This window comes from Homo sapiens, chromosome 2, assembly GCF_000001405.40.
Source record: "Homo sapiens chromosome 2, GRCh38.p14 Primary Assembly".
Taxonomy (NCBI): Eukaryota; Metazoa; Chordata; class Mammalia; order Primates; family Hominidae; genus Homo; species Homo sapiens.
The window spans coordinates 85,330,848-85,354,528 of record NC_000002.12 but is presented as its reverse complement, the minus strand read 5'-3'; the positions used below and the strand labels follow the sequence as shown (position 1 = coordinate 85,354,528).

Sequence of the window (23,681 nt, the reverse complement as noted above, 5' to 3'; positions counted from 1 at the left end):
ACCCGACCCGACGCCGGCGTGATGTGGCTTCCGCTGGTGCTGCTCCTGGCTGTGCTGCTGCTGGCCGTCCTCTGCAAAGTTTACTTGGGACTATTCTCTGGCAGCTCCCCGAATCCTTTCTCCGAAGATGTCAAACGGCCCCCAGCGCCCCTGGTAACTGACAAGGAGGCCAGGAAGAAGGTTCTCAAACAAGGTAGCAGGAGGGACCCTGGGGTCCGGGGCTGCACTCGAGGCTTTCTCACAGATTTGGGTTCTCATTTTGCCAAGGCAGCCGCTACCAGACGTGGGCCTTAGTTTCCCCATATGTAAAGTACTAGGAGGGCTTCCTTGCACGTGGAGGAGCCCCGCTTTAGTGTGCAACACTGTCGATAGCCTTTGCCCTAGTAGGCCCCGGGAATAGTAGTCCCAAGGGTGTGGTCATTGTCCTTGGTTTGCAAGGTGTTGGCACCCGCCCTGCCACTTGTAATCCCCGTGGCTCGTGGAACTGATAATCCCCGTGACTCATTCCTCCACTTGGTTCCAGGACCTTAACTTTTTCACCTACCCTCCCATGCGAGCTCAGGGGTGTGGGGGAGCAGCACAGAAATGCGTAGGAAATTGCGTTTTGCCCGTCCGGTGATTTAACAGGCTTTGCATGGTCCCAAATCGTAAGGATTGAACCCTAGTTCTGAAACATTGGCAGAGGTTCAACAAGGCGCCTCAGGCTCAGAGCCTGCTCTCCACTCTCATCTTTAAAACATATTTTGTGGTTGCTTCTAGAGTTTAAAGAGTTCTGCTGCTTTAAAAAATAATGGATCACCTGTTTGATCTACGGAGTCCCTCTCACTTGTAAATTTTAGAATTCTCCGTGTCATATCTTGCTACACAATCGGAGACAGTACTGTTCTAAGTGGAAGGACTAATCATCTGGACTTCTGAGAACTGAGTTTTAGCTTGGACTCTGTCACTAATTTGCTGCATAACCATTAGCACCTACCTGGGCTGGTCTAAAAATGAGATGACTAGCTTAACTGCTTTTCAAACCGGATTGTGATCTATTAGTGGGCTATGAAATCAATTTAGTGAGTTGCAACTGGCATTATTTATTTATTTATTGAAACAGAGTCTCGCTCTATTGTCCATGCTAGAGTGCAGTGGCGCGATCTCCGCTCACCGCAACTTCCGCCTCCTGGGTTCAAGTGATTATCCTGCCTCAGCCTCCCGAGTAGTGGGCATGCCCAGCTAATTTTTGTATTTTTAGTAGAGACAGGGTTTCACCATGTTGTCAAGGCTCTCGAACTCCTGGCCTCAAGCGATCCGCCCACCTCGGCCTCCCAAAGTGTTGGGATTACAGGCGTGAGCCATCACGCCTGGCCACAACTAGTATTTTAGAATGCAGTAGAATAGAAAATATCAGAGTGCATTATACATAGTTCCACTAAGTATTGCATTGTGACACTTGTTTCATGTATTTATCTTATATACTTACATGTGAAATTTTTTTTTACTATTGATCTCTCTAAAAACATTAAAAAAATAAGCAGTTTGCCAAGTTCTCTTGTATCTTGAAACATCCCAGATCTCAGTTCTTTGCCAGTGATTGTTAAAGAACAGATCTTGTGTCGGAAGTACCCATATAGCACCACTTGCTATCCAGTTTTGTCTTCTGAGAAGGTGCTGCCTCCCTCAGCACTGCCCCCAGACCTTCCCTATGGGAGGGGCTGGTGCTGTGATTTCTCAGAGCTGCAGCCTCTGAGCAGTTCTGTCCTGCCCAAGCCTTTTCATCAGGACCTGGAAGAGCCACCATAAGACCCAGCTATTCCACTATTGCTTGCAGACCCTGCATCTTCCAAAGAAACCCGGCTTGTGGGCTGGTGTGTTGGCTCATGCCTGTAATCCCAGCAATTTGGGAGGCCGAGGTGGGTGGATCACTTGAGGCCAGGAGTTCAAGATCAGCCTGGGCAACATAGCAAGACTTTGGCTCTATAAAACATAAAATAGGCGGGGCGCGGTGGCTCATGCATGTAATCCCAGCACTTTGGGAGGCCGAGGCAGGCGGATCACGAGGTCAGGAGATCGAGACCATCCTGGCTAACATGGTGAAACCCCATCTCTACTAAAAAATATTAAAAAAAAAAATTAGCCGGGCGTGGTGGTGGGCACCTGTAGTCCCAGCTACTCGGGAGGCTGAAGCAGGAGAATGATGTGAACCCAGGAGGCGGAGCTTGCAGTAAGCGGAGATTGCGCCACTGCACTCCAGCCTGGGTGACAGAGTGAGACTCCGTCTTAAAAAATAATTAAACACATAAAAATAAAAATAAAAATAAAATGGCCCGGCATGGTGGCATGCACCTGTAGTCCCAGCTACTCGGGAACCAGAGGCAGGAGGATTGCTTGAGGCCAGGAGTTCAAGGCTGCAGTGAGCTGTGATCACATCACTGCACTTCATCCTGGGCCATAGTGAGACCTTGTCTCAAAAAACAAATAAGCAAAACCCCAAATCTGCCTGGCTGGTTCTGAGTATTCCCAGGTAAAATGTTTGAAACATGTTAGTCAAGAGTTCTGTGCCAAACCACTCTAGAGGTTTCTTGCACTGTACAAGCTAGAGAAGTCTTCTTTGGTTTCCCTATCTTTGCTATTTCCCTGCCCCTGCCTGAGAAACCCACCCTTTGGCCCTTCTGCTGTAGCTTTTTCAGCCAACCAAGTGCCGGAGAAGCTGGATGTGGTGGTAATTGGCAGTGGCTTTGGGGGCCTGGCTGCAGCTGCAATTCTAGCTAAAGCTGGCAAGCGAGTCCTGGTGCTGGAACAACATACCAAGGCAGGGGGCTGCTGTCATACCTTTGGAAAGAATGGCCTTGAATTTGACACAGGTAAGGCTTGTGTGGAAAAGGGTTGGGAGCATGGCTGTATGTTGAAGAGGCTTGGAGCAGCCCTTGTGGGGTGATACTGAGCATTTCTGTTGTTTTGGAAGTGCCATCTTCTCTCTGGGTACTTTTTTTCTTTGTTTGTTTCAGACAGAGTCTCACTTCATCACCCAGGCTGGAGCGCAGTGGTGTGATCCCAGCTTACTGTAACCTCTGCCTCCTGAGTTCGTGATTCTCATGCCTCAGTCTCCCGAGTGGCTGGGATTACACTCAGTAATCCCACCAAGTGGGCCACCACACCCCGCTAATTTTTTTGTATTTTAGTAGAGATGGGGTTTCTCCATGTTGTCCAGGCTGGTCTCGAACTCCTGACCTCAAGTGATCCACCTCCCTCTGCCTCCCAAAGTGTTGGGATTATGGGTGTGAGCCACCGTGCCCAGCCTCTGGGCAGTTTTCTTATGTGACAGCATAGCTACTGGGAGTTGAATCGGGCAGCGATCTGGCGGTTTCTGCTGTGACACCTCCCTACAGACAGAGTGAGCAGCTCACTCTGGGCGTGAACTTGGCCAGGCCAGATAAACTCTTCCACCTCACTTCCTCAGCCACCTTTCCAGGGCTCAATCCCCATATCCCTTTACTACCTTGTTTTTCCATCTCCCAACAGGAATCCATTACATTGGGCGTATGGAAGAGGGCAGCATTGGCCGTTTTATCTTGGACCAGATCACTGAAGGGCAGCTGGACTGGGCTCCCCTGTCCTCTCCTTTTGACATCATGGTACTGGAAGGGCCCAATGGCCGAAAGGAGTACCCCATGTACAGTGGAGAGAAAGCCTACATTCAGGGCCTCAAGGAGAAGTTTCCACAGGAGGAAGCTATCATTGACAAGTATATAAAGCTGGTTAAGGTAACATGGACATGCTGAGGACCCAGAGTTTGTTCTCGATAAGGCTGGGTTTCTTTATTATTAGTGGAGGCACTGGGGGTGGAGAGTGCAGTGCGGGAGGCAGGAAGGGAGGAAGAGTCACATCTGTTCTTAGCTCAGCCTCCACCCAAGTCCATCCAGTTCTCTGTCTCTCTCTCTCTGGAGCCTTGGCTCCACGGCTGCTGCTGTCACCCTGGCCTCTGGGGATGCCCTGCTCTCCTCCCTGACTAGGCTGGCTTCCATGACATCAGATCACTACTCCTTTTTACTGCATCCGAGACCAGATTGGGATTTTTGAAAAGGAATTTGAGCAGGAAAATTAAAAGCAAAAAAAGGACTCATCCGAGTGTAGGATGGGAAAAATTCACAGAGTATAGATTTTTTAAAAATATTCAAATTCAGCAAAGTTCAGTCAGGGGTAAGTGTTGCTGGATTCTTGGGCTGGTCCAGGCTATGGGGATAGCAGTTCTGTCAAAGCGGTTCTAGAGGTGAGGCCTGCTGTCCTCATTCACTCCCCCAGGTGGTATCCAGTGGAGCCCCTCATGCCATCCTGTTGAAATTCCTCCCATTGCCCGTGGTTCAGCTCCTCGACAGGTGTGGGCTGCTGACTCGTTTCTCTCCATTCCTTCAAGCATCCACCCAGAGCCTGGCTGAGGTCCTGCAGCAGCTGGGGGCCTCCTCTGAGCTCCAGGCAGTACTCAGCTACATCTTCCCCACTTACGGTGGGTACTGGGCCTGGGCTCTGGGCAGCTTCTGGAGGAGGAACGGCTGCCCTCTCATCTCTCAATCTTTCTTCTCGACCCTGCCTGGCTGACTGATATGGAGCAGTGTAAACCCCAGGCCCTCTGGAGCTTGTGGATGAGAAGTCTGGCCACCTGCTGGACTCCTTGGTCAAAATTCTGTTCATCCATGCCTTGGATGATTTTTCAATTCAAGCAACACTATCCTCCTTGGTCTTGGCAGCATGGCAGTTTGCAGGGGGGGTATTCCTACTGGCGCCAAGATCTCTAAGGTACCCCATGTCTAGATGGAAAGGCTCCTCTGGCTGCCTTGGACCCTGAGGAACATGTGGTTCCTCGGATAGACTGGGCTGTGTGTTATCTCACAGAATTCCACGTTCCTTTCTGAATGGTGCTGGTGCCTTCTCTTGCCAGCTCACCACCCTTCCTTGCTTCTGCAGGTGTCACCCCCAACCACAGTGCCTTTTCCATGCACGCCCTGCTGGTCAACCACTACATGAAAGGAGGCTTTTATCCCCGAGGGGGTTCCAGTGAAATTGCCTTCCACACCATCCCTGTGATTCAGCGGGCTGGGGGCGCTGTCCTCACAAAGGCCACTGTGCAGAGTGTGTTGCTGGACTCAGCTGGGAAAGCCTGTGGTGAGAGCCCTGCCCCGCCCTGCCCTTCTGGGTCCCTGGGTTGGTGTGGGCGAGACCTGGGGTCTCCCTGAGACCAGAAGGAGTAGGAGAACTGACCTCCTCATGGAGGCTAAAGGTGAGAATCTGCCCCAGAGCAGGGTCCAGGGATAGTGATTAGTCCAGAAATAAAAAGGAAGCAGGAAAGATAAAGGATTGGCCGGGCATAGTGGTCCAAGCCTGTAACCCCAGCACTTTGGGAGGCTGAGATGGGAGGATCACTTGAGCTCAGGAATTTGAGATCAGCCTGGGCAACATGGTTAAACCCTGTCTCTTTAAAAAAAAAAAAACAAAAATATGGCCGGGCATGGTGGCTCACGTCTGTAATCCCAGCACTTTGGGAGGCCGAGGCGGGCAGCTCACAAGGTCAGGAGTTCGAGACCAGCCTGGCCAATACGGTGAAACCCCGTCTCTACTAAAAATACAAAAATTAGCTGGGCATGGTGGCACGCACCTATAGTCCCAGCTACTTGGGAGGCTGAGGCGGAAGAATTGCTTGAACCCAGGAGGTAGAGGTTGCAGTGAGCTGAGATCACGCCACCGCACTCCGGCCTGGGCGACAGAGCGAGACGCCATCTCAAAAAAAAAGAAAGGAAAAGAAAAGAAAAATAAAGGATTGCATGGTCCCCAAAGAACAGTATTTATTTATTTATTTAATAGATAAAATTATTTACCCAGTAATCTATGACTGTCTTCTTTTTTTTTTTTTTTTTTTTTGAGTTGGAGTCTCGCTCTGTTGCCCAGGCTGGAGTCCAGTGGTGTGATCTCGGCTCACTGCAAGCTCCGCCTCCTGGTTCATGCCATTCTCCCGCCTCAGCCTCCCGAGTAGCTGAGACTACAGGTGCCCGCCACCACGCCCAGCTAATTTTTTGTATTTTTAGTAGAGATGGGGTTTCACCATGTGTTAGCCAGGATGGTCTCAATCTCCTGATCTTGTGATCCGCCCACCTTGGCCTCCCAAAGTGCTGGGATTACAGGCGTCAGGCACGGAGACCAGCCGACTATCTTCTTGAGTGTAGAGACTGTCTTTTATCTTTGTATCTATAAATCTTAGCACATATTAGAGGCTCAATAAATGCTGTTCAGTGGCCAATAGAATGAATGAGTAACCTTGGATTCCACAGGATAGTATGGAGGCCAGCAAGGTTCCCTGCCTCTATCTGTAAAGTGGGGCCCAGAACGTTATTACCCTGGCTCAGGTTGATGCTGTAACCCGCATAGGGACTCAGAATCCCAGTATAAATGAACTCTTGGAATAGAGGGTCTGTGCAAGAAGGACTCTGTTAAACAGAATAGGCCATCTATGACTAATGGGTGCTTAAAGAAGCCAGGGAAGCAGACAAAAAGAGGCCTGGGAAAAACTGGGCTAATGTAGACATGCATTTATCAGAGGAACCTTTCAAGGAGGTGATAAGTGGGGGGCCCAGTGCAAAATGAAAAATGAAGGAGAAAAGGCCATCAGTGATCTGAGAGAATCCATTAGTAGGAGAGACTGATAAGTTACCGGGTGGTAAGAGAGAGGTGGCTGTTGGTTGGGCAAGGTTTTCTCTGATGTCCATGAACAAGTTCTCCTTTCAGCTGAAAGGGGTCCAGGAAGCAAGGTATCAGTTGAGTTAAATACAATCCAGATATATTTGTTTGTTTTTCAAGTGCTAGGTAATAAAAGATAGAGATAAAAGAGGCCGGGCGCAGTGGCTCATGCCTGTAATCCCAGCACTTTGGGTGGCCAAGGCAGGCAGATCACCTGAGGTTGGGAGTTCGAGACCAGCCTGGCCAACATAGTGAAACCCTGTCTTTACTAAAAATACAAAAATTAGCCAGGGCCAGGCGCAGTGGCTCACGCCTGTAATCCCAGCACTTTGGGAGGCCGAGGTGGGTGGATCACAAGGTCAGGAGTTCGAGACCAGCCTGGCCAGTATAGTGAAACCCTGTCTTTACTAAAAATACCAAAATTAGCCAGGCACGGTGCTGGGAGCCTGTAATCCTAGCTACTTGGAGGCCAGGATAGGAGAATTGCTTGAACCTGGGAGGCGGAGGTTGCAGTGAGCTGAGATTGAACCACTGCACTCCAGCCTGGGCAACGGAGCGAGGCTTCATCTTAAAAAAGAAAAAGCATTCATTTACTTGCCATCTGGAGGCGTGTGCTAAGGATGGGGATAACAGACAGCACGGTGGAACAGGGGAAGCCTCCTGGAGGCACAGGTGTTGGAGCTGAGTAATAAAGGGTGAGATGAAGCTAGCAAGCAGATGAGGTTGGAGAATATTCCAGGAATGGGAAGCAGCATGTGCAAAGGTGTGGAGATATGAAAGAGCTGGGTGTTTTCAGGCATCCAGAAGTATTAGGTCGAACAATAAGAAACTGCCATTTTTGTAGGTAAGAAATGGTTGACTCTCAGCTGTTTGATATTGGTTCTGCCTAATAGTTTAGTGGGAGTTTAGTGAGAGTGACCAGAGACGGATGGAGCTGGACACACAGAAGGGACCACATTGCACAGGCTGCTGTAAGATTTTGGAGGTTCTCTTATCCAGGATGAGGCATCATTGCAGGGTTTTATTTTTATTTTATTCATTCATTCATTCATTCATTTTTTTTAGATACACGGTCTCACTCTTTTGCCCAGGCTAGAGTGCAGTAGTGTCATCATAGCTTACTGTAGCATTTAACTCCTGGGCTGAACCCATTCCTCTGGCTGAGGAGATAGGACTACAGGTGTGCACAACTCCATACAGCTTAATTTAAATTTTTTTGTTCTATAGAGACAGGGTCTCACTATGTTGCCCAGGCTAGTCTTGAACTCCTGTACACAAGCAATCAGTCCTCTTACCTCAGACTCCCAAAGCGCTGGGAGTACAGGCATGAACCACTGTGCCTAGCCCCGATTGGAGGGTATTAAAGAGTATTTGGAAACAACTCTGGCAGCAGAGAAAAGGGCCTGGATTTCCAGTGGAAGGTCTTTAGCCCTTGAGCTTTGTCTGGGATTTGGCTCAAACACAGAGTACATACAAACATACACACACACAGGTGGGTACAGAGCTAGGGAAAGTAAGCCCAAGCAGTTGTAGGATAGTGTGAAAGCACCTGAAGATACTCACTCACTGTGCATTTTCCCAGGGGCCTGCCCTGCCTGAGTCTAGGTAGCTGGACTCCAAGGTCTGAGAAATGGGCACAGGCAGAGAGAGATCCATGGGGGCCGTGGGCCTTTCTCTTCATCCCAGAGCTCACAGACCCTCAGCCAAGCTCTTGTGCCTGCAGGTGTCAGTGTGAAGAAGGGGCATGAGCTGGTGAACATCTATTGCCCCATCGTGGTCTCCAACGCAGGACTGTTCAACACCTATGAACACCTACTGCCGGGGAACGCCCGCTGCCTGCCAGGTAAAAGGCGGGTCTGCACTGCCCCTCTTGCAGGTTCCCCAATGTGTCCCCTTCTGGAGCCAACCTGCTCCGTGTGGGTCATGCTTCTCCTCTTCTTGGCCGGCCCTCTGATTGTCCTTAAGCAACAAGGTGAGAACGCTACCTCTAACATCATCCTAACCCTAGCATTTAATGTTGGGGAAACTGAGGCCCATACAGATTAATTACAGTCCTGAGGCCACTCAGCTGAAAGGGGCAGGGCTGAGCAGAGTAGCTGGTCTGATTTGAAAGCTCCGCTCCTCCCACCCTTCTGGGCTGAGGGGGCTTCCAGAGAAGAGGCCTCAGGAAGAGAAGCAGGAGAGCAGGCAGCCCACAGGGAGCAGAGCCGCCGAGCCAACGCAGCTAAGAGGTCCCGCCACCTTCATGTAACTGGATCTGAGGAAGGGAGGCCGCTGGGAAGAGGGGACCAGTAACCCAGCAGGGGTGAGAGAGAGGGGCCCAGATGAAGGACTCAGGATGGGGCGGGAGCTGGAGAGCATGGAGTAGCTCCGGATATGGTATGGCGGAAACCTTGACTGGTGCAGGAGCTAGAGAGCAGGGGAAGGAGCCCTGACCCCAGAGGGTGGGCCCGGGAGCTGCTCCCTGAGGAGCCGGGGAAGGGGACAGCAGAGCGGGCTGGGGGGTAAAGCGAGGTCCTGGCTTTCCGCATGGGGACTGGGTGGTAAGGCAGTTGTGATTGTCTCCAGGGCATAGGGTGATTTCACCAGCGCCAGCCTCTCCTTCCTTCACCCTGCGTGGCTGAGCCTGCAGCCTGCTCGGCCTCCCCTCTCTCAGACTCTCAGGAGCTGAAGGGGTGAGGCAGAGATGGCCCAGGGGCAGAGCAGGGAGGTCGGGCTTGGTGCACAGGCAGACTCTGCCTTTGCTACTTCCTACCTTTCTCTCTGTGACCCTGACCTCCCTTCTCCCCTGTCCCAGGACCTCTGGGAACTGACACTGTCCTGGCCAGGCAGCCCTGCTACAGTCATCTGTCCCTCCCGCCCCCCTCTCACTGTCTGGTTACAATTTTCCCTTGTCTATGAATTTTCCTCCTGAACACGATCTGAAGGCCTCAAAAATATTTAGTTAAATGAAGGAAGCAGAGTGGCCAGGGGCCCGGCATGCCTCAGGCAGGTGCCAGAGCTGGCACCCCAAGGCTCTCCTGGGAGCAAGGAGTGGCCGTCTCCGGCCATGGTCCACACAGGCACCAACCACTCCCCCTGGCAGGTGTGAAGCAGCAACTGGGGACGGTGCGGCCCGGCTTAGGCATGACCTCTGTTTTCATCTGCCTGCGAGGCACCAAGGAAGACCTGCATCTGCCGTCCACCAACTACTATGTTTACTATGACACGGACATGGACCAGGCGTAAGGTGCACGTGTGTGTGTATGTGTGTGGCCCGTGCCTCCCTGCTTGACTCAGAGAATGAGCAGAGGTTATGGAATGGGAGGAAGTAGGCAATTTCTAATTTGCTCCTGGAAGTTTGTCACGCCAAGGCTGTGGCTCAGCTTCACCCCTGTGGGGAGTCCCTAGGGATAAGCAGTCCTTGCAGTGGTTCTGGGGTTTTGAGGACAAAAACCTGGAGATCCCACCACACTCTTGTCACATGCAGGATGGAGCGCTACGTCTCCATGCCCAGGGAAGAGGCTGCGGAACACATCCCTCTTCTCTTCTTCGCTTTCCCATCAGCCAAAGATCCGACCTGGGAGGACCGATTCCCAGGTGGGGCTGCACGTCCCGGGTGAGGGGGTGGAGGGAGAGGCCGGGCAGTAGTAATATCAGCTCTGATCCCCAGGCCGGTCCACCATGATCATGCTCATACCCACTGCCTACGAGTGGTTTGAGGAGTGGCAGGCGGAGCTGAAGGGAAAGCGGGGCAGTGACTATGAGACCTTCAAAAACTCCTTTGTGGAAGCCTCTATGTCAGTGGTCCTGAAACTGTTCCCACAGCTGGAGGGGAAGGTAGGGGGTAAAGTATTTGGGGTGGTGACGAACCTCACGGTGCTGTTTCTGCCCTTTCCTTGAGACAGGGGAATCAGGCCCCAAGACATGAGCCCCAGGGAAGGACAGGGCACCCATCCCTGCAGTCAGTGAATGGGAAAGAGTGGAAGAGGGAGGGGAGCCAGGATCTCACATGCCTGCCCCACCCTTTCTGCCCTCAGGTGGAGAGTGTGACTGCAGGATCCCCACTCACCAACCAGTTCTATCTGGCTGCTCCCCGAGGTGCCTGCTACGGGGCTGACCATGACCTGGGCCGCCTGCACCCTTGTGTGATGGCCTCCTTGAGGGCCCAGAGCCCCATCCCCAACCTCTATCTGACAGGTATACTCACTGCCCCATGTTGTCAGGACCTGAGACCCTGGGCCCCTGTCGCCCAACGTCCTCTGTTCCTGCCCTCAGGCCCTGCTGTCCCCTGCAGCCTCCCATCCCCTGAGCAGGGCTGCCTGGGCAGGCTGTGGCCCCTGTCTGATTGGAGCCAGCTCTGGGTGGCCCTCATGTGGAGGGAAGAGCACCAAGGCCCCACCCTCCCCTGGGCCTGCCTGGGTGCACGCTCAGGGGCCTCTGCTCTTGCCTCCTAGGCCAGGATATCTTCACCTGTGGACTGGTCGGGGCCCTGCAAGGTGCCCTGCTGTGCAGCAGCGCCATCCTGAAGCGGAACTTGTACTCAGACCTTAAGAATCTTGATTCTAGGATCCGGGCACAGAAGAAAAAGAATTAGTTCCATCAGGGAGGAGTCAGAGGAATTTGCCCAATGGCTGGGGCATCTCCCTTGACTTACCCATAATGTCTTTCTGCATTAGTTCCTTGCACGTATAAAGCACTCTAATTTGGTTCTGATGCCTGAAGAGAGGCCTAGTTTAAATCACAATTCCGAATCTGGGGCAATGGAATCACTGCTTCCAGCTGGGGCAGGTGAGATCTTTACGCCTTTTATAACATGCCATCCCTACTAATAGGATATTGACTTGGATAGCTTGATGTCTCATGACGAGCGGCGCTCTGCATCCCTCACCCATGCCTCCTAACTCAGTGATCAAAGCGAATATTCCATCTGTGGATAGAACCCCTGGCAGTGTTGTCAGCTCAACCTGGTGGGTTCAGTTCTGTCCTGAGGCTTCTGCTCTCATTCATTTAGTGCTACGCTGCACAGTTCTACACTGTCAAGGGAAAAGGGAGACTAATGAGGCTTAACTCAAAACCTGGGCGTGGTTTTGGTTGCCATTCCATAGGTTTGGAGAGCTCTAGATCTCTTTTGTGCTGGGTTCAGTGGCTCTTCAGGGGACAGGAAATGCCTGTGTCTGGCCAGTGTGGTTCTGGAGCTTTGGGGTAACAGCAGGATCCATCAGTTAGTAGGGTGCATGTCAGATGATCATATCCAATTCATATGGAAGTCCCGGGTCTGTCTTCCTTATCATCGGGGTGGCAGCTGGTTCTCAATGTGCCAGCAGGGACTCAGTACCTGAGCCTCAATCAAGCCTTATCCACCAAATACACAGGGAAGGGTGATGCAGGGAAGGGTGACATCAGGAGTCAGGGCATGGACTGGTAAGATGAATACTTTGCTGGGCTGAAGCAGGCTGCAGGGCATTCCAGCCAAGGGCACAGCAGGGGACAGTGCAGGGAGGTGTGGGGTAAGGGAGGGAAGTCACATCAGAAAAGGGAAAGCCACGGAATGTGTGTGAAGCCCAGAAATGGCATTTGCAGTTAATTAGCACATGTGAGGGTTAGACAGGTAGGTGAATGCAAGCTCAAGGTTTGGAAAAATGACTTTTCAGTTATGTCTTTGGTATCAGACATACGAAAGGTCTCTTTGTAGTTCGTGTTAATGTAACATTAATAAATTTATTGATTCCATTGCTTTAACATTTGAAATTTATTTTGGTTTTTTGTTCAAGAAAACAAAACTATTATTGTGATGGCATTTGCAGAAGCTCAGTAAAACACTATATACTGAATAACACCAAAATAAGCTTTAAAAAAATAAAATTAAGTAATTATAAAGTTACAAAAAGTGGGGTCTGCGCCTTCCCAGGCCAGTGTGCTGAGCTCTCCATGTCGCTGTTGCCGCCCGCACCTGGCCTACCGCGGCACTCCCGGCTGCATGCTCTGCTTGGCCTTGCCATGCCGGTGGACCTCAGCAAGTGGTCCGGGCCCTTGAGCCTGCGAGAAATGGACGAGCGGTCACAGCACCTGCTGCATGTCACCTACGCCCGGGCGGTGGTGGACGAGCTGGGCAAAGTGCTGACGCCCACCCAGGTTAAGAATAGACCCACCAGCATTTAGTGGGATGGTCTTGATTCAGGGAAGCTCTACACCTTGGTCCTGACAGACCCTGATGCTCCCAGCAGGAAGGATCCCAAATACAGAGAATGGCATCATTTCCTGGTGGTCAACATGAAGGGCAATGACATCAGCAGTGACACACTCCTCTCCGATTATGTGGGCTCGGGGCCTCCCAAGGGCACAGGTCTCCACCGCTATGTCTGGCTGGTTTATGAGCAGGACAGGCCACTAAAGTGTGACGAGCCCATCCTCAGCAACCGATCTGGAGACCACCGTGGCAAATTTGAGGTGGTGTCCTTCCGTAAAAAGTACGAGCTCGGGGCCCCGGTGGCTGGCACGTGTTACCAGGCTGAGTGGGACGACTATGTGCCCAAACTGTACGAGCAACTCTCTGGGAACTAGTGGGTTAGCTTGGGGACCTGAACTGTTCTGGAGGCCCCAAGCCATGTTCCCCAGTTCAGTGTTGCATGTATAATAGGTTTCTCCTCTTCCTGCCCCCCTTGGCACAGGTGAGACCTGACCAGTCAGATGGTGGTTGAGGGTGACTTTTCCTGCTGCCTGGCCTTTATAATTTTACTCACTCACTCTGATTTATGTTTTGATCAAATTTGAACTTCATTTTGGGGGATATTTTGGTACTGTGATGGGGTCATCAAATTGTTAATCTGAAAATAGCAACCCAGAATGTAAAAAAGAAAAAACTAGGGGGAAAAAACCAGGTCTACAGTGATAGAGCAAAGCATCAAAGAATCTTTAAGGAAGGTTTTAAAAAAAAAAAGATTGGTTGCCTCTGCCTTTGTGATCCTGAGTCCAGAATGGTACACAATGTGTTTTTATGGTGATGTCACTCACCTAGACAACCAGAGGCTGGCATTGAGGCTAACCCCCAACACGGTGCATCTCAGATGCCTCAATAGGCATCAGTATGTCGCTCTGGTCCCTTTAAAGAGCAATCCTGGAAGAAGCAGGAGGGAGAGTGGCGCTGCTGTTGTTGGGACATGGCCATCTAGACCGGCAGCAGCGCTCGCTGACAGCTTGGGAGGAAACCTTAGATCGGTGTTTGTTAAACTGATCATTCTTCACGGGAGTAAGAAAAGCTGGTCTGGAGTTGCTGAACATTGCATTAATTGTGCTGTTTGCTTATAGTTGAATAAAAATAGAAACCTGAATGAAAAAAAAAGTTACAAAAAGTGGCCATCTACCGACTGGGCAAACAAAAAAGAACAGTTTCAACACTCAGTCATTTATTGCACATGGAGTCTGATGAATTAAAAGAATACCAATCAGAGTGTCCGGGGCTGGCGTGTTGGCAGTTTGAAGTACCATACAGCTCAGGGCTGGGTGCTTTGGCTCATGCCTGTAATCCCAGCACTCTGGGAGGCCAAGGCAGGTAGATTGCTTGAGCTCAGGAGTTCAAGACCAGTCTGAGCAACATGGCAAGACCCTGTCTCTATAGAAAGTCCCCACCCCACCCCCAGAAAAATTAGCTGGGCATGGTGGTGTGCCCCTGTAGTCCCAGCTATTCAGGAGGCTGAGGTGGGAGGATCACTTGAGCCCGGGAGGTGGAGGTTGCAGTGAGCCAAGATTGTGACACTGCACTCCAGCCTGAGCAAGAGAGTGGGACCCCGTCTCAAAACAAAACAAACAAAAAAGACCAAACATATAGCTCAGACCCAAACCCTTTACAGAGGAGTTTCTAAATTGGGAGATTTGGCTAAATACAATGGCTCATGTCTGTAATCCCAGTATTTTGGGAGGCTGAGGTGGGATGATTGTTTGAACCCAGGAGTTTGAGGCTGCAGTGAGCTGTGATCACTGCACTCCAGCCAGAGTGACAGAACGAGACCCTCCTCTAAAAAAACAAAACAAAACAAAACAAATAAACAAATTGGGAGATTTGGTAAATTCACACCTGACCTGTAGAACTACCTGAGTTGAGAGTCACCCTTGGCTCTGGATGTACCGTTTAATTGCAGCTAAAAATCTCTACCCAGGATTCCTACTGGAGCAAGTCACACCGAGCCCAACCTTCCTAGCAAGAGTTTTCACAGCGTTCTAGCTCTCATCACACTTGCAGCATTCTGCATCAGTTTACCCTGTACAGTCAAGCACAAAAGAAGACACCAGCATCACCAGCAGGGGAATTCTAGAGGTTTAGAATTCTATCAGCACATGTGTCACTAAAAGCCATTATGGGGGGACTATGTCAGAATATATGTAACTAGCTGTCAGGTCTTTCCCAGTTGCCTCAGCCTTTCTACATAGACTGGTCTTCGACTTGCCCTGAGTCCAGAAGTGGACTCTTACAGCAATTTTACTCAGGAATCTGTAGCAGGAAAACAGGTTCCTCTATTAACATCCATGACTGAACCACAGATTCGTCTAATAGAAATCACACTTCACCGGGCGTGGTGGCTCACGCCTGTAATCCCAGCACTTTGGGAGCCGGGGCAGGCAGACCACCTGAAGTCGGGAGTTCAAGACCAGCCTGACCAACATGGAGAAACCCCGTCTCTACTAAAAATGCAAAATTAGCCAGGCGTGGTGGTGCATGCCTGTAGTCCCAGCTACTCGGGAGGCTGAGGCTGGAGAATTGCTTGAACCAGGGAGGTTGTGGTGAGCTGAGATCGTGCCGTTGTGCTCCAGCCTGGGCAAGAGCGAAACTCCGTCTCAAAAAAAAAAAAAAAAAAAAAAAAAAATTCACCCTTCAACCAAAAGCTGGGCGCAGAAAGGGAAGCCCTTAGCTGACTATAGGAGGTGCCTCTTGTGGCTCCTCGTGCTTCTTACACACCACCCCTAGCTTGAGTGATGCCTCAGCCAGCTCACCCTCATCCACACAATCTCTAGGAAACATGCTTCGAATATTGTCTTTGAAAAGACAACCATGCAGAAAATAAGCTTTCCTTTAGTGTGCAGTATTTTATTCAGTGCAATTCTAAAGGCAAACTTGAATTCAAGTGTACTCTTTCTGCACAAGAAATGAAACTTCTCAGAGGTTCAAAAGCTGAGCTCTGCGGACTCCGTGACAAAATCTACACATCCACTGCCAACCCTCTTGGTTTCTGAAACCAACCTTTCTTCCTGCTGTCCTCTTTAAGAGCAAAACCCAACATGTATAAGGTCAGAGCAAGTGGTAGCCAGGAAAAGCTTGGGGACCTCTATCATATCCAGAGGGCATGAAGAAAGAAAACACGTCCTCTGCCAAAGGCAAAATGGAGTTTGTGAAGCAGGAGTGGTGGCTCATGCCTGTAATCTCAGCATTTTGGGAGGCCGAGGCGGCCAATCATCTGAGGTCAGGAGTTCGAGGCCAGCCTGGCCAACATGGCAAAACCTCGTGTGTGTGTAGAGATGGGGTCTTGCTATGTTTCCCAGGCTGATCTCAAACTCCTGGGCTCAAGCAATCCTCCTACCTGCAGACCTCCCTAAATGCTGGGATTACAAGTGTGAGCCATCATGCCTGGCCCCACAAAATGATTTTTAAAGTCAGTTAGAAATCAAACATACACTAGAAAGAAATACACTTGATGGAGAGATGGGAATCCTGACTCTGCTTCACACTGTTCTGTATTATTTTGCATTATTTACATGTAGTTTTTTTTCCCCCAAATTGAAAGAAAAGTTATAATGAAGAGGGGAAACTCCTTAAGGCTGATTATCTGAGAAGCTAGCAGTCCAGCGCTAAATTGTGAAGCTGACCTCTTGAGGTAGTTAACAAAGATGTTTCTCTTTATGTCTTTTTGCCAGTAGCACACTGCCCTAATTACTCCAGCTTTTTGGTGAGTTTTGAAACTGGGAAGTGTGAATTCTTCAGCTTTGTTCTTTTCCACGTCTGTTTTTGCTTTTGTATGCCTCTTGCATTTCCATATGTATTGTGGAATCTGCTTGTCGATTCTGCACCAAGCCAGCTGGAATCTTAATAGACACTGTGTTTAATAGAGACTGGGTGTAGACCAATTTGGGGAGCATAGCCATGTTAACAAAACTCTGTCTTCCAATCCATGAATATAGGCTATCTTTCCATTTCTTTAGGTCTTCTTTAATTTCTTTCAACGTTTTGTAGTTTTCACAACACAAATTTTGCAATTCTTTGGTTAAATTTATTTCTATGGATTTTTTTATACTATTCACAAATGCAATTATTTCTTATTTCATTTTCAGATTGTCCATTGCAAAGTTATAGAAATATAGTTGATTTCTGTATGTTGATCTCAAAGGATGTGGAGAAAATAAACAATGGAAAACAAGGAGATAGTGTCCCAGAAGATAAGTGACCTGACTAGGTATAGCACTAAAGGCCTGCAAGGCAAACATTTTACATAAGGTTTTCTTTTGGCTTTTTTTTTGAGACGAAGTCTCACTCTGTTGCCTAAGCTGGAGGGCAGCGGCGAGATCACGGCTCACTACAACCTCCACCTCCTGGGTTCAAGTGATTCTCCTGCCTCAGCCTCCCAAGTAGCTGGGAATACAGGCGCACACCACCATGCCCGGCTAATTTCTGTATTTTTAGTAGAGACGGGGTTTCACTATTTTGGCCAGGCTGGTCTTGAACTCCTGACCTCGCGATCCTCCCGCCTTGGCCTCCCAAAGTGCTGGGATTACAGGTGTGAGCCACTGTGCCTGGCCTGTTTTGTTTTTTTTTAGACAGAATCTCGCCCTGTTGCCCAGGCTGGAGGGCAGTGGCAGGATCTTGGCTCACTGCAGCCTCTGCCTCCTGGGTTCAAGCGATTCTTGTGTCTCAGCCTCCAGAGTAGCTGGGATTACAGGCACCTGCCACCATGCCCGGCTAATTTTTGTATTTTTAGCAGAGACGGGGTTTCACCATGTTGGCCAGGCTGGTCTCGAACTCCTGACCTCAAGTGATCCACTGCCTCGGCCTCCCAAAGTGCTGGGATTACAGGTGTGAGCCACTGTGCCCAGCCAACATATGGGTTTATAACTTGCTTTATTTTTGGTTAACAATCATATGCACATATTACTATAGGAAAGGAGGACCAACAAAATATTCATGATAATAGCTCTGGATTAAGAATATTTTTCTGGCCAGGTGTGGTGGCTCATATGTGTAATTGCAGCACTTTGGGAGGCTGAGGTGGGAGGATTGCTTGAGCCCAGGAGTTCAAGACCAGCCTGGGCAACATAGTTCAAGACCAGCCTGGGCAATAGTCTGTCTCTACAAAAAGTTTAAAAATTAGCTAGGTGTGGTGGCATGCACCTGTAGTCCCAGCTACTTGGGAGGCTGAGGTGGGAGGATTACCTGAGCCTGGGAGGTCAAGGCTGCAGTGAGCTATGGTCGGTCTCAAAAAAAAAAAAAAAAAAAAGAAAAAAAAAGAAATATCTTTCTTACTTTGGTTCATCTTTGTTTTATAATTTTTCTATAATTAACATATTACAGTAATAATTTTAGAGCATTATATGCTACATATGGTGTTAAACACTATATTTTACATGAATAATCTAATTCTTAACATTTTAATTTCCATTTCATAGTGAAGAAACAGGCTAGGCGTGGTGGCATACACCTGTAATCTCAGCACTTTGGGAGGCCAAGGTGGGCGGATCACTTGAGGTCAGGAGTTTGAGACCAGCCTGGCCAACATGGTGAAACCCTGTCTCTACTAAAAATACAAAAATTAGCTGGGTGTGGCGGCACACACCTGTAGTCCCAGCTACTTGGGAGGCTGAGGCATGAGAATTGCTCAAATCCAGGACGTAGAGGTTGCAGTGTGCCAAGATCACACCACTGCACTCCAGCCTGGGTGTCAGAGTGAGACCCTGTCTCAACATAATAATAATAAAGAAACAAATATTTAAAGTAATTAAGTAACTCGTCCACGGTCATGTGAATTACTTGTGCAATAAGTATTAAAGAATAACACTTAAGGACTATATTTCTATCTGTTTGGCAGATTAATAATACTCACTGCTATCAAAGCTTTGGCAAAATAATAGAATTGCTTTATCTTTCTTTCTTTCTTTTCTTTAGAGATTGGTTCTCACTCAGTCACCCAGGCTGGAATGCAGAGATCATAGCTCACTGTAATCTCCAACTCCTGGTCTCAAGCCAGACTAATTTTTAAATTTTTAAAATTGAGACAGGGTCTCAATTTGTTGACCAGGCTGGTCTCAAACTCCAGGCTTCAAGGGATCCTCTCGTCTTGGCCTGCCAAAGTGCTGGGATTACAGGCATGAGCCACTCTACCAGGGCTACTTAATCTTTCTAAGCATTTGTCTTACCTTAAAAGGCACCTAACCAGTACTTAACAATAGTTAACTAACAATAGAAAACTAAAAATAATACGGATGTCCAATAGCAAGAGAACTGTCACAATTATGATCAACTAATAGATTACTTTTTATGAAACCATTAACAATCCTGTTTTGAACAATATTTAGTTAGAAAAATTGTTCCTATACTTACCTTTGAACTCCATGATTACATTTCCAACTAGATTATTTTCACCTGGCTGTCTCATGGTCCACAGTACACAGAAGCAATTAACCATAAGCAAATTCATTTTCTATGCCCCACCCCCATCAGACTTGCTTCTCCATTAGTGCTCCTTCCCTCAGGGAAAGGACACCGCCACACCTTCTTCACCATCACTCCTTTTCCCCCACACCCTGTCCGTCTTCAAGGCCTGTTAGTATTACCTTCACATTTATCTTGAGTCCAATTACTTCCCTCCATTCTCACTTTCCCTATACTAGTCCTACTTGGACTATTGCATCAGTCTCTTAACTCTTAAATTCACTCCTCCCTCTGAGAGGTGACAGCGTGCTGGCAGTCCTCACAGCCCTCGCTCGCTCTCCGTGCCTCCTCTGCCTGGGCTCCCACTTTGGCGGCACTTGAGGAGCCCTTCAGCCCGCCGCTGCACTGTGGGAGCCCCTTTCTGGGCTGGCCAAGGCTGGAGCTGGCTCCCTCAGCTTGCGGGGAGGTGTGGAGGGAGAGGCGCGGGGGGGAACCGGGGCTGCGCGCGGTGCTTGCGGGCCAGCGCGAGTTCCGGGTGGACGTGGGCTCGGCGGGCCCTGCACTCCTAGCGGCCGGGCAGTGAGGGGCTTAGCACCTGCGCCAGCAGCTGCTGTGCTCAATTTCTCGCTGGGCCTTAGCTGCCTTCCCGCAGGGCAGGGCTCGGGACCTGCAGCCCGCCATGCCTGGGCCTCCCCCACCTCCGTGGGCTCCTGTGTGGCCCCAGCCTCCCCGACGAGCACCGCCCCCTGCTCCACGGCGCCCAGTCCCATCGACCACCCAAGGACTGAGGAGTGCGGGCGCACGGCATGGGACTGGCAGGCAGCTCCACCTGCGGCCCTAGTGCGGGATCCACTGGGTGAAGCCAGCTGGGCTCCTGAGTCTGGTGGGGACTTGGAGAACCTTTATGTCTAGCTAAGGGATTGTAAATACACCAATCGGCACTCTGTATCTAGCTCAAGGTTTGTAAACACACCAATCAGCACCCTGTGTGTAGCTCAGGGTTTGTGAATGCACCAATCCACACTCTGTATCTAGCTACTCTGGTGGAGACTTGGAGAACTTTTATGTCTAGCTAAGGGATTGTAAATACACCAATAGGCACTCTGTATCTAGCTCAAGGTTTGTAAACACGCCAATCAGCACCCTGTGTCTAGCTCAAGGTTTGTGAATGCACCAATCGACACTCTGTGTACAGCTACTCTGGTGGGGACTTGCAGAACCTTTGGTCCACACTCTGTATCTAACTAATCTAGTGGGCAGGTGGAGAACCTTTGTGTCTAGCTCAGGGATTGTAAGCGCACCAATCAGCACCCTGTCAAAACAGACCACTCAGCTCTCTGTAAAATGGACCAATCAGCAGGATGCGGGCGGGGCCAGATAAGAGAATAAAAGCAGGCTGCCCCAGCCAGCAGTGGCAACCCACTCAGGTCCCCTTCTGTGCGGTGGAAGGTTTGTTCTTTCTCTCTTTGCAGTAAATCTTGCTGCTGCTCACTCTTTGGGTCCACACTGCCTTTATGAGCTGTAACACTTACCGCGAAGGTCTGCAGCTTCACTCCTGAAGCCAGCGAGAACACGAACCCACCGGGAGCAACGAACAACTCCAGATGCGCCGCCTTAAGAGCTAGCTGTAACACTCACCGCGAAAGTCCGCAGCTTCGCTCCTGAGCCGGCGAGACCATGAACCCACCAGAAGGAAGAAACTCCCAACACATCCGAACATCAGAAGGAACAAACTCTGGACACGCCTTTAAGAACTGTAACACTCACCCCGAGGGTCCGCGGCTTCATTCTTGAAGTCAGTGAGACCAAGAACCCACCAATTCCAGACATACCTCCCCACTGAAGTTCTTCATGCTACAACCAGAGTAATATTTAAAAATTTGGCTGAGCCCAGTGGCTCACGCCTGTAATCCCGACACTTTGGGAGGCCGAGGTGGGTGGATCACTTGAGGTTAGGATTTCGAGACCAGCCTGGCCAACATGGTGAAACTCTGCCTCTACTAAAATACAAAAATTAGCTGGGCATGGTGGTGGGCACCTGTAATCCCAGCTACTCGGGAGGCTGAAACAGGAGAACTGCTTGAACCCAGGAGGCGGAGGTTGCAGTGAGCCGAGATTGTGCCACTGCACTCCCGCCTGGGTGACAGAGTGAGACTCCGTCTAAAAACAAAAATAAAATAAAATAAAAAATAATAAAAATTCCCAACCCTTAGCTGGTCTGATGGTATTGGGTTCTCAGAACTTACTAACATTAGTATCACTACACTTTGTATTAATATATAACACCCCATTGCTAAATTTGATTGTCTTTAAAAAATCCCAATTCTGATTCTATCTTTCCTCTACTTAAAACTCTAGCGGTACCATTATTGTTAAGATAAAATACAAAACCCTGGACATGCCCCATGAGTTCTGCATCATTTGGACTCCTTTCCTCTATTGTCTAGTAATTTGGACACCAGGTCAGGCTTAATAATTTACTGTTCCCTCACCAGACACACATACCCTTGATAAGCCAATATCTTTAAATGTTAGTCAAACACTTATTTAGGGGAGGTAGAAATAATTTTCTTTTCCTTTTTTTTTTGAGAGAGTCTTGCTCTGTCGCCTAAGCTGGGGTGCAGTGGTGCAGTCTCAGCTCACTGCAACCTCTGCCTCCCAAGTTCAAGTGATTCTTCTGCCTCAGCCTCCCGAGTAGCTGAGATTACAGGCATGCACCACCATGTCCAGCTAAATTTTTTTTTTGTATTTTTAGTAGAGACGGGGTTTCACCATGTATGTCATGCCGGTCTGGAACACCTGACCTCAAATGATCCGCCTGCCTCGGCCTCCCAAAGTGCTGGAATTACAGGCTTGAGCCACCGCACCCAGCCAGAATTTTTTTTTTCTCTTGTCTTCTCTTTTTTCCGTTTTTTGGGACAGAGTCTCACTTTGTTGCCAAGGCTAGAGTGCAGTAACCTGATCACAGCTCACTGCAGCCTCCACCTATGACGCTCAAGCAATTCTCCCATCTCAGTGCTGCTGGGACTGTAGGTGCACACCACGCCCAGCTCATTTTTAAAATTATTTGTAGAGACGGGGTTTCGCCGTGTTGCCCAGGGTGGTCTTGAACTCCTGGGCTCAATCAGCCAGCCTCGGCCTCCCAACCAAAGTGCTGGGATTACAGGTGTGAGCCACTGCACCTCACCAGAGTTTTCTTTTAGAAACAAATTAATTTACCAATTCATTTCTTTTAGCCTAAGTGGAGTCAAGGTTCTAAATAGTTTGGCAAAAGATTTCTCACTTCCTGTGATTCTTATTTTCTCTTCAGTAATGAGTGTATGTGTGAGAGACATTTTCTTATGACAGAGAAACATATTGAGAACATAATTGTTTTTTAAATTAAAAAATATCCGGCCTGGGCGACAGAGTGAGACCCTGTCTCAAATTAATAAATAAACAAATAAAAATAAAAATAAAGCACTTGTTCCTGAAAATTATATGCCACTATATGCACTATTCTTTGAAATTCTGAAGAACTCTGATTGACTAGAACTGCATATCATGTAAGCCAAATATTGCCCTCAGTAGACTCCAGAGGAGTTATTTCCCCTGGCAGCTATAGTTCTTTCTGGCAGGAGAGGGACTAGTTTACATTTCAATCAAAGTTAACTGGCATACAGCAGGGCGCAGTGGCTCACGCCTGTAATCTCAGCACTTTCAGAGGCTGAGGTGGGTGGATCATTTGAGGTCAGGAGTTTGAGACCAGCCTGGTCAACACGGTAAAACCCCGCCTCTACTAAAAATACAAAAATTAGCCCGGCGTGGTGGCGGGTGTCTGTAATCTCAGCTACGCAGTAGTCTGAGGCAGAAGAATCATCTGAACCCGGGAGGCGGAGGCTGCAGTGAGCTGAGATCACGCACTCCAGCATGGGCGACAGAGGGAGACTCCATCTCAAAACAAAACCCACAAAGTTAACTGCCTTATTTTCTGTTGTACTTTTTGTGCTTAGTAGATTCATGTTCTAGACAATTCTCAGGTCATTTGTTCTTTAACCTGGCTCTGCTCCAGCCTCTTTCCTGCCTTTCTCCTTGTTCTCTATTACCTGACAATCATAGTCTTTAGACTTACACAAAATACCAGGTCCCCACCTGTCTGCAGGCCATTGTATTAGGTTGGTGCAAAAGTAATTGCTGTTTTTGTCAAACAGCAAAAACGCAATTGCTTTTGTACCAACCTACTACATGCTGTACACTCAGCCAGGAAAGCTCATCCTCCTCTTCCCTTCATCTTCCCAGTATGTACCTGGGACATAGCTACATCCTTTGGTCCTCATCTTAAAGGTCCCTTCCTCAAATGATCTCATAGTTTCTATAATTT

General features: G+C 49.2%; 1 protein-coding gene and 1 pseudogene across 2 annotated transcripts, besides 1 other annotated feature; both read left to right on the top strand.

The window, feature by feature from the left end:
- On the top strand, nt 1-12,574 carry RETSAT (retinol saturase). 2 transcript variants are annotated; one of them, NM_017750.4, is made up of 11 exons: nt 1-193; nt 2,667-2,849; nt 3,508-3,749; nt 4,288-4,489; nt 4,948-5,145; nt 8,435-8,554; nt 9,797-9,935; nt 10,181-10,290; nt 10,364-10,530; nt 10,731-10,890; nt 11,148-12,574. In NM_017750.4, the coding sequence occupies exons 1-11, from the start codon at nt 22-24 to the stop codon at nt 11,285-11,287; spliced, it is 1,833 nt and encodes a 610-aa protein (NP_060220.3). In that variant the 5' UTR covers nt 1-21; the 3' UTR covers nt 11,288-12,574. The 2 variants fall into 2 exon arrangements, with proteins under 2 accessions (NP_060220.3, XP_047300784.1); XM_047444828.1 differs by lacking the exons at nt 10,364-10,530; nt 11,148-12,574.
- PEBP1P2 (phosphatidylethanolamine binding protein 1 pseudogene 2) lies at nt 12,605-13,548 on the top strand (annotated as a pseudogene).
- Nucleotides 19,478-19,977: an enhancer, noted in NCBI's record as "H3K27ac-H3K4me1 hESC enhancer chr2:85561675-85562174 (GRCh37/hg19 assembly coordinates)". NCBI's record gives its function as "activates a minimal SCP1, AML or CMV promoter by ChIP-STARR-seq in primed H9 embryonic stem cells {active_cell/tissue: H9 hESC(primed)}" and the evidence as "EXISTENCE:reporter gene assay evidence [ECO:0000049][PMID:30033119]".

What these genes read in the sequence shown, in the direction of transcription:
- RETSAT (NM_017750.4), top strand. Translation starts at nt 22, where the DNA reads ATGTGGCTTCCGCTGGTGCTGCTCCTGGCTGTGCTGCTGCTGGCCGTC. An exon ending in GAAGAAGGTTCTCAAACAAG is followed by an intron (nt 194 to 2,666) that starts GTAGCAGGAGGG and finishes CTTCTGCTGTAG; the next exon opens with CTTTTTCAGCCAACCAAGTG. An exon ending in CCCCAACCTCTATCTGACAG is followed by an intron (nt 10,891 to 11,147) that starts GTATACTCACTG and finishes CTTGCCTCCTAG; the next exon opens with GCCAGGATATCTTCACCTGT.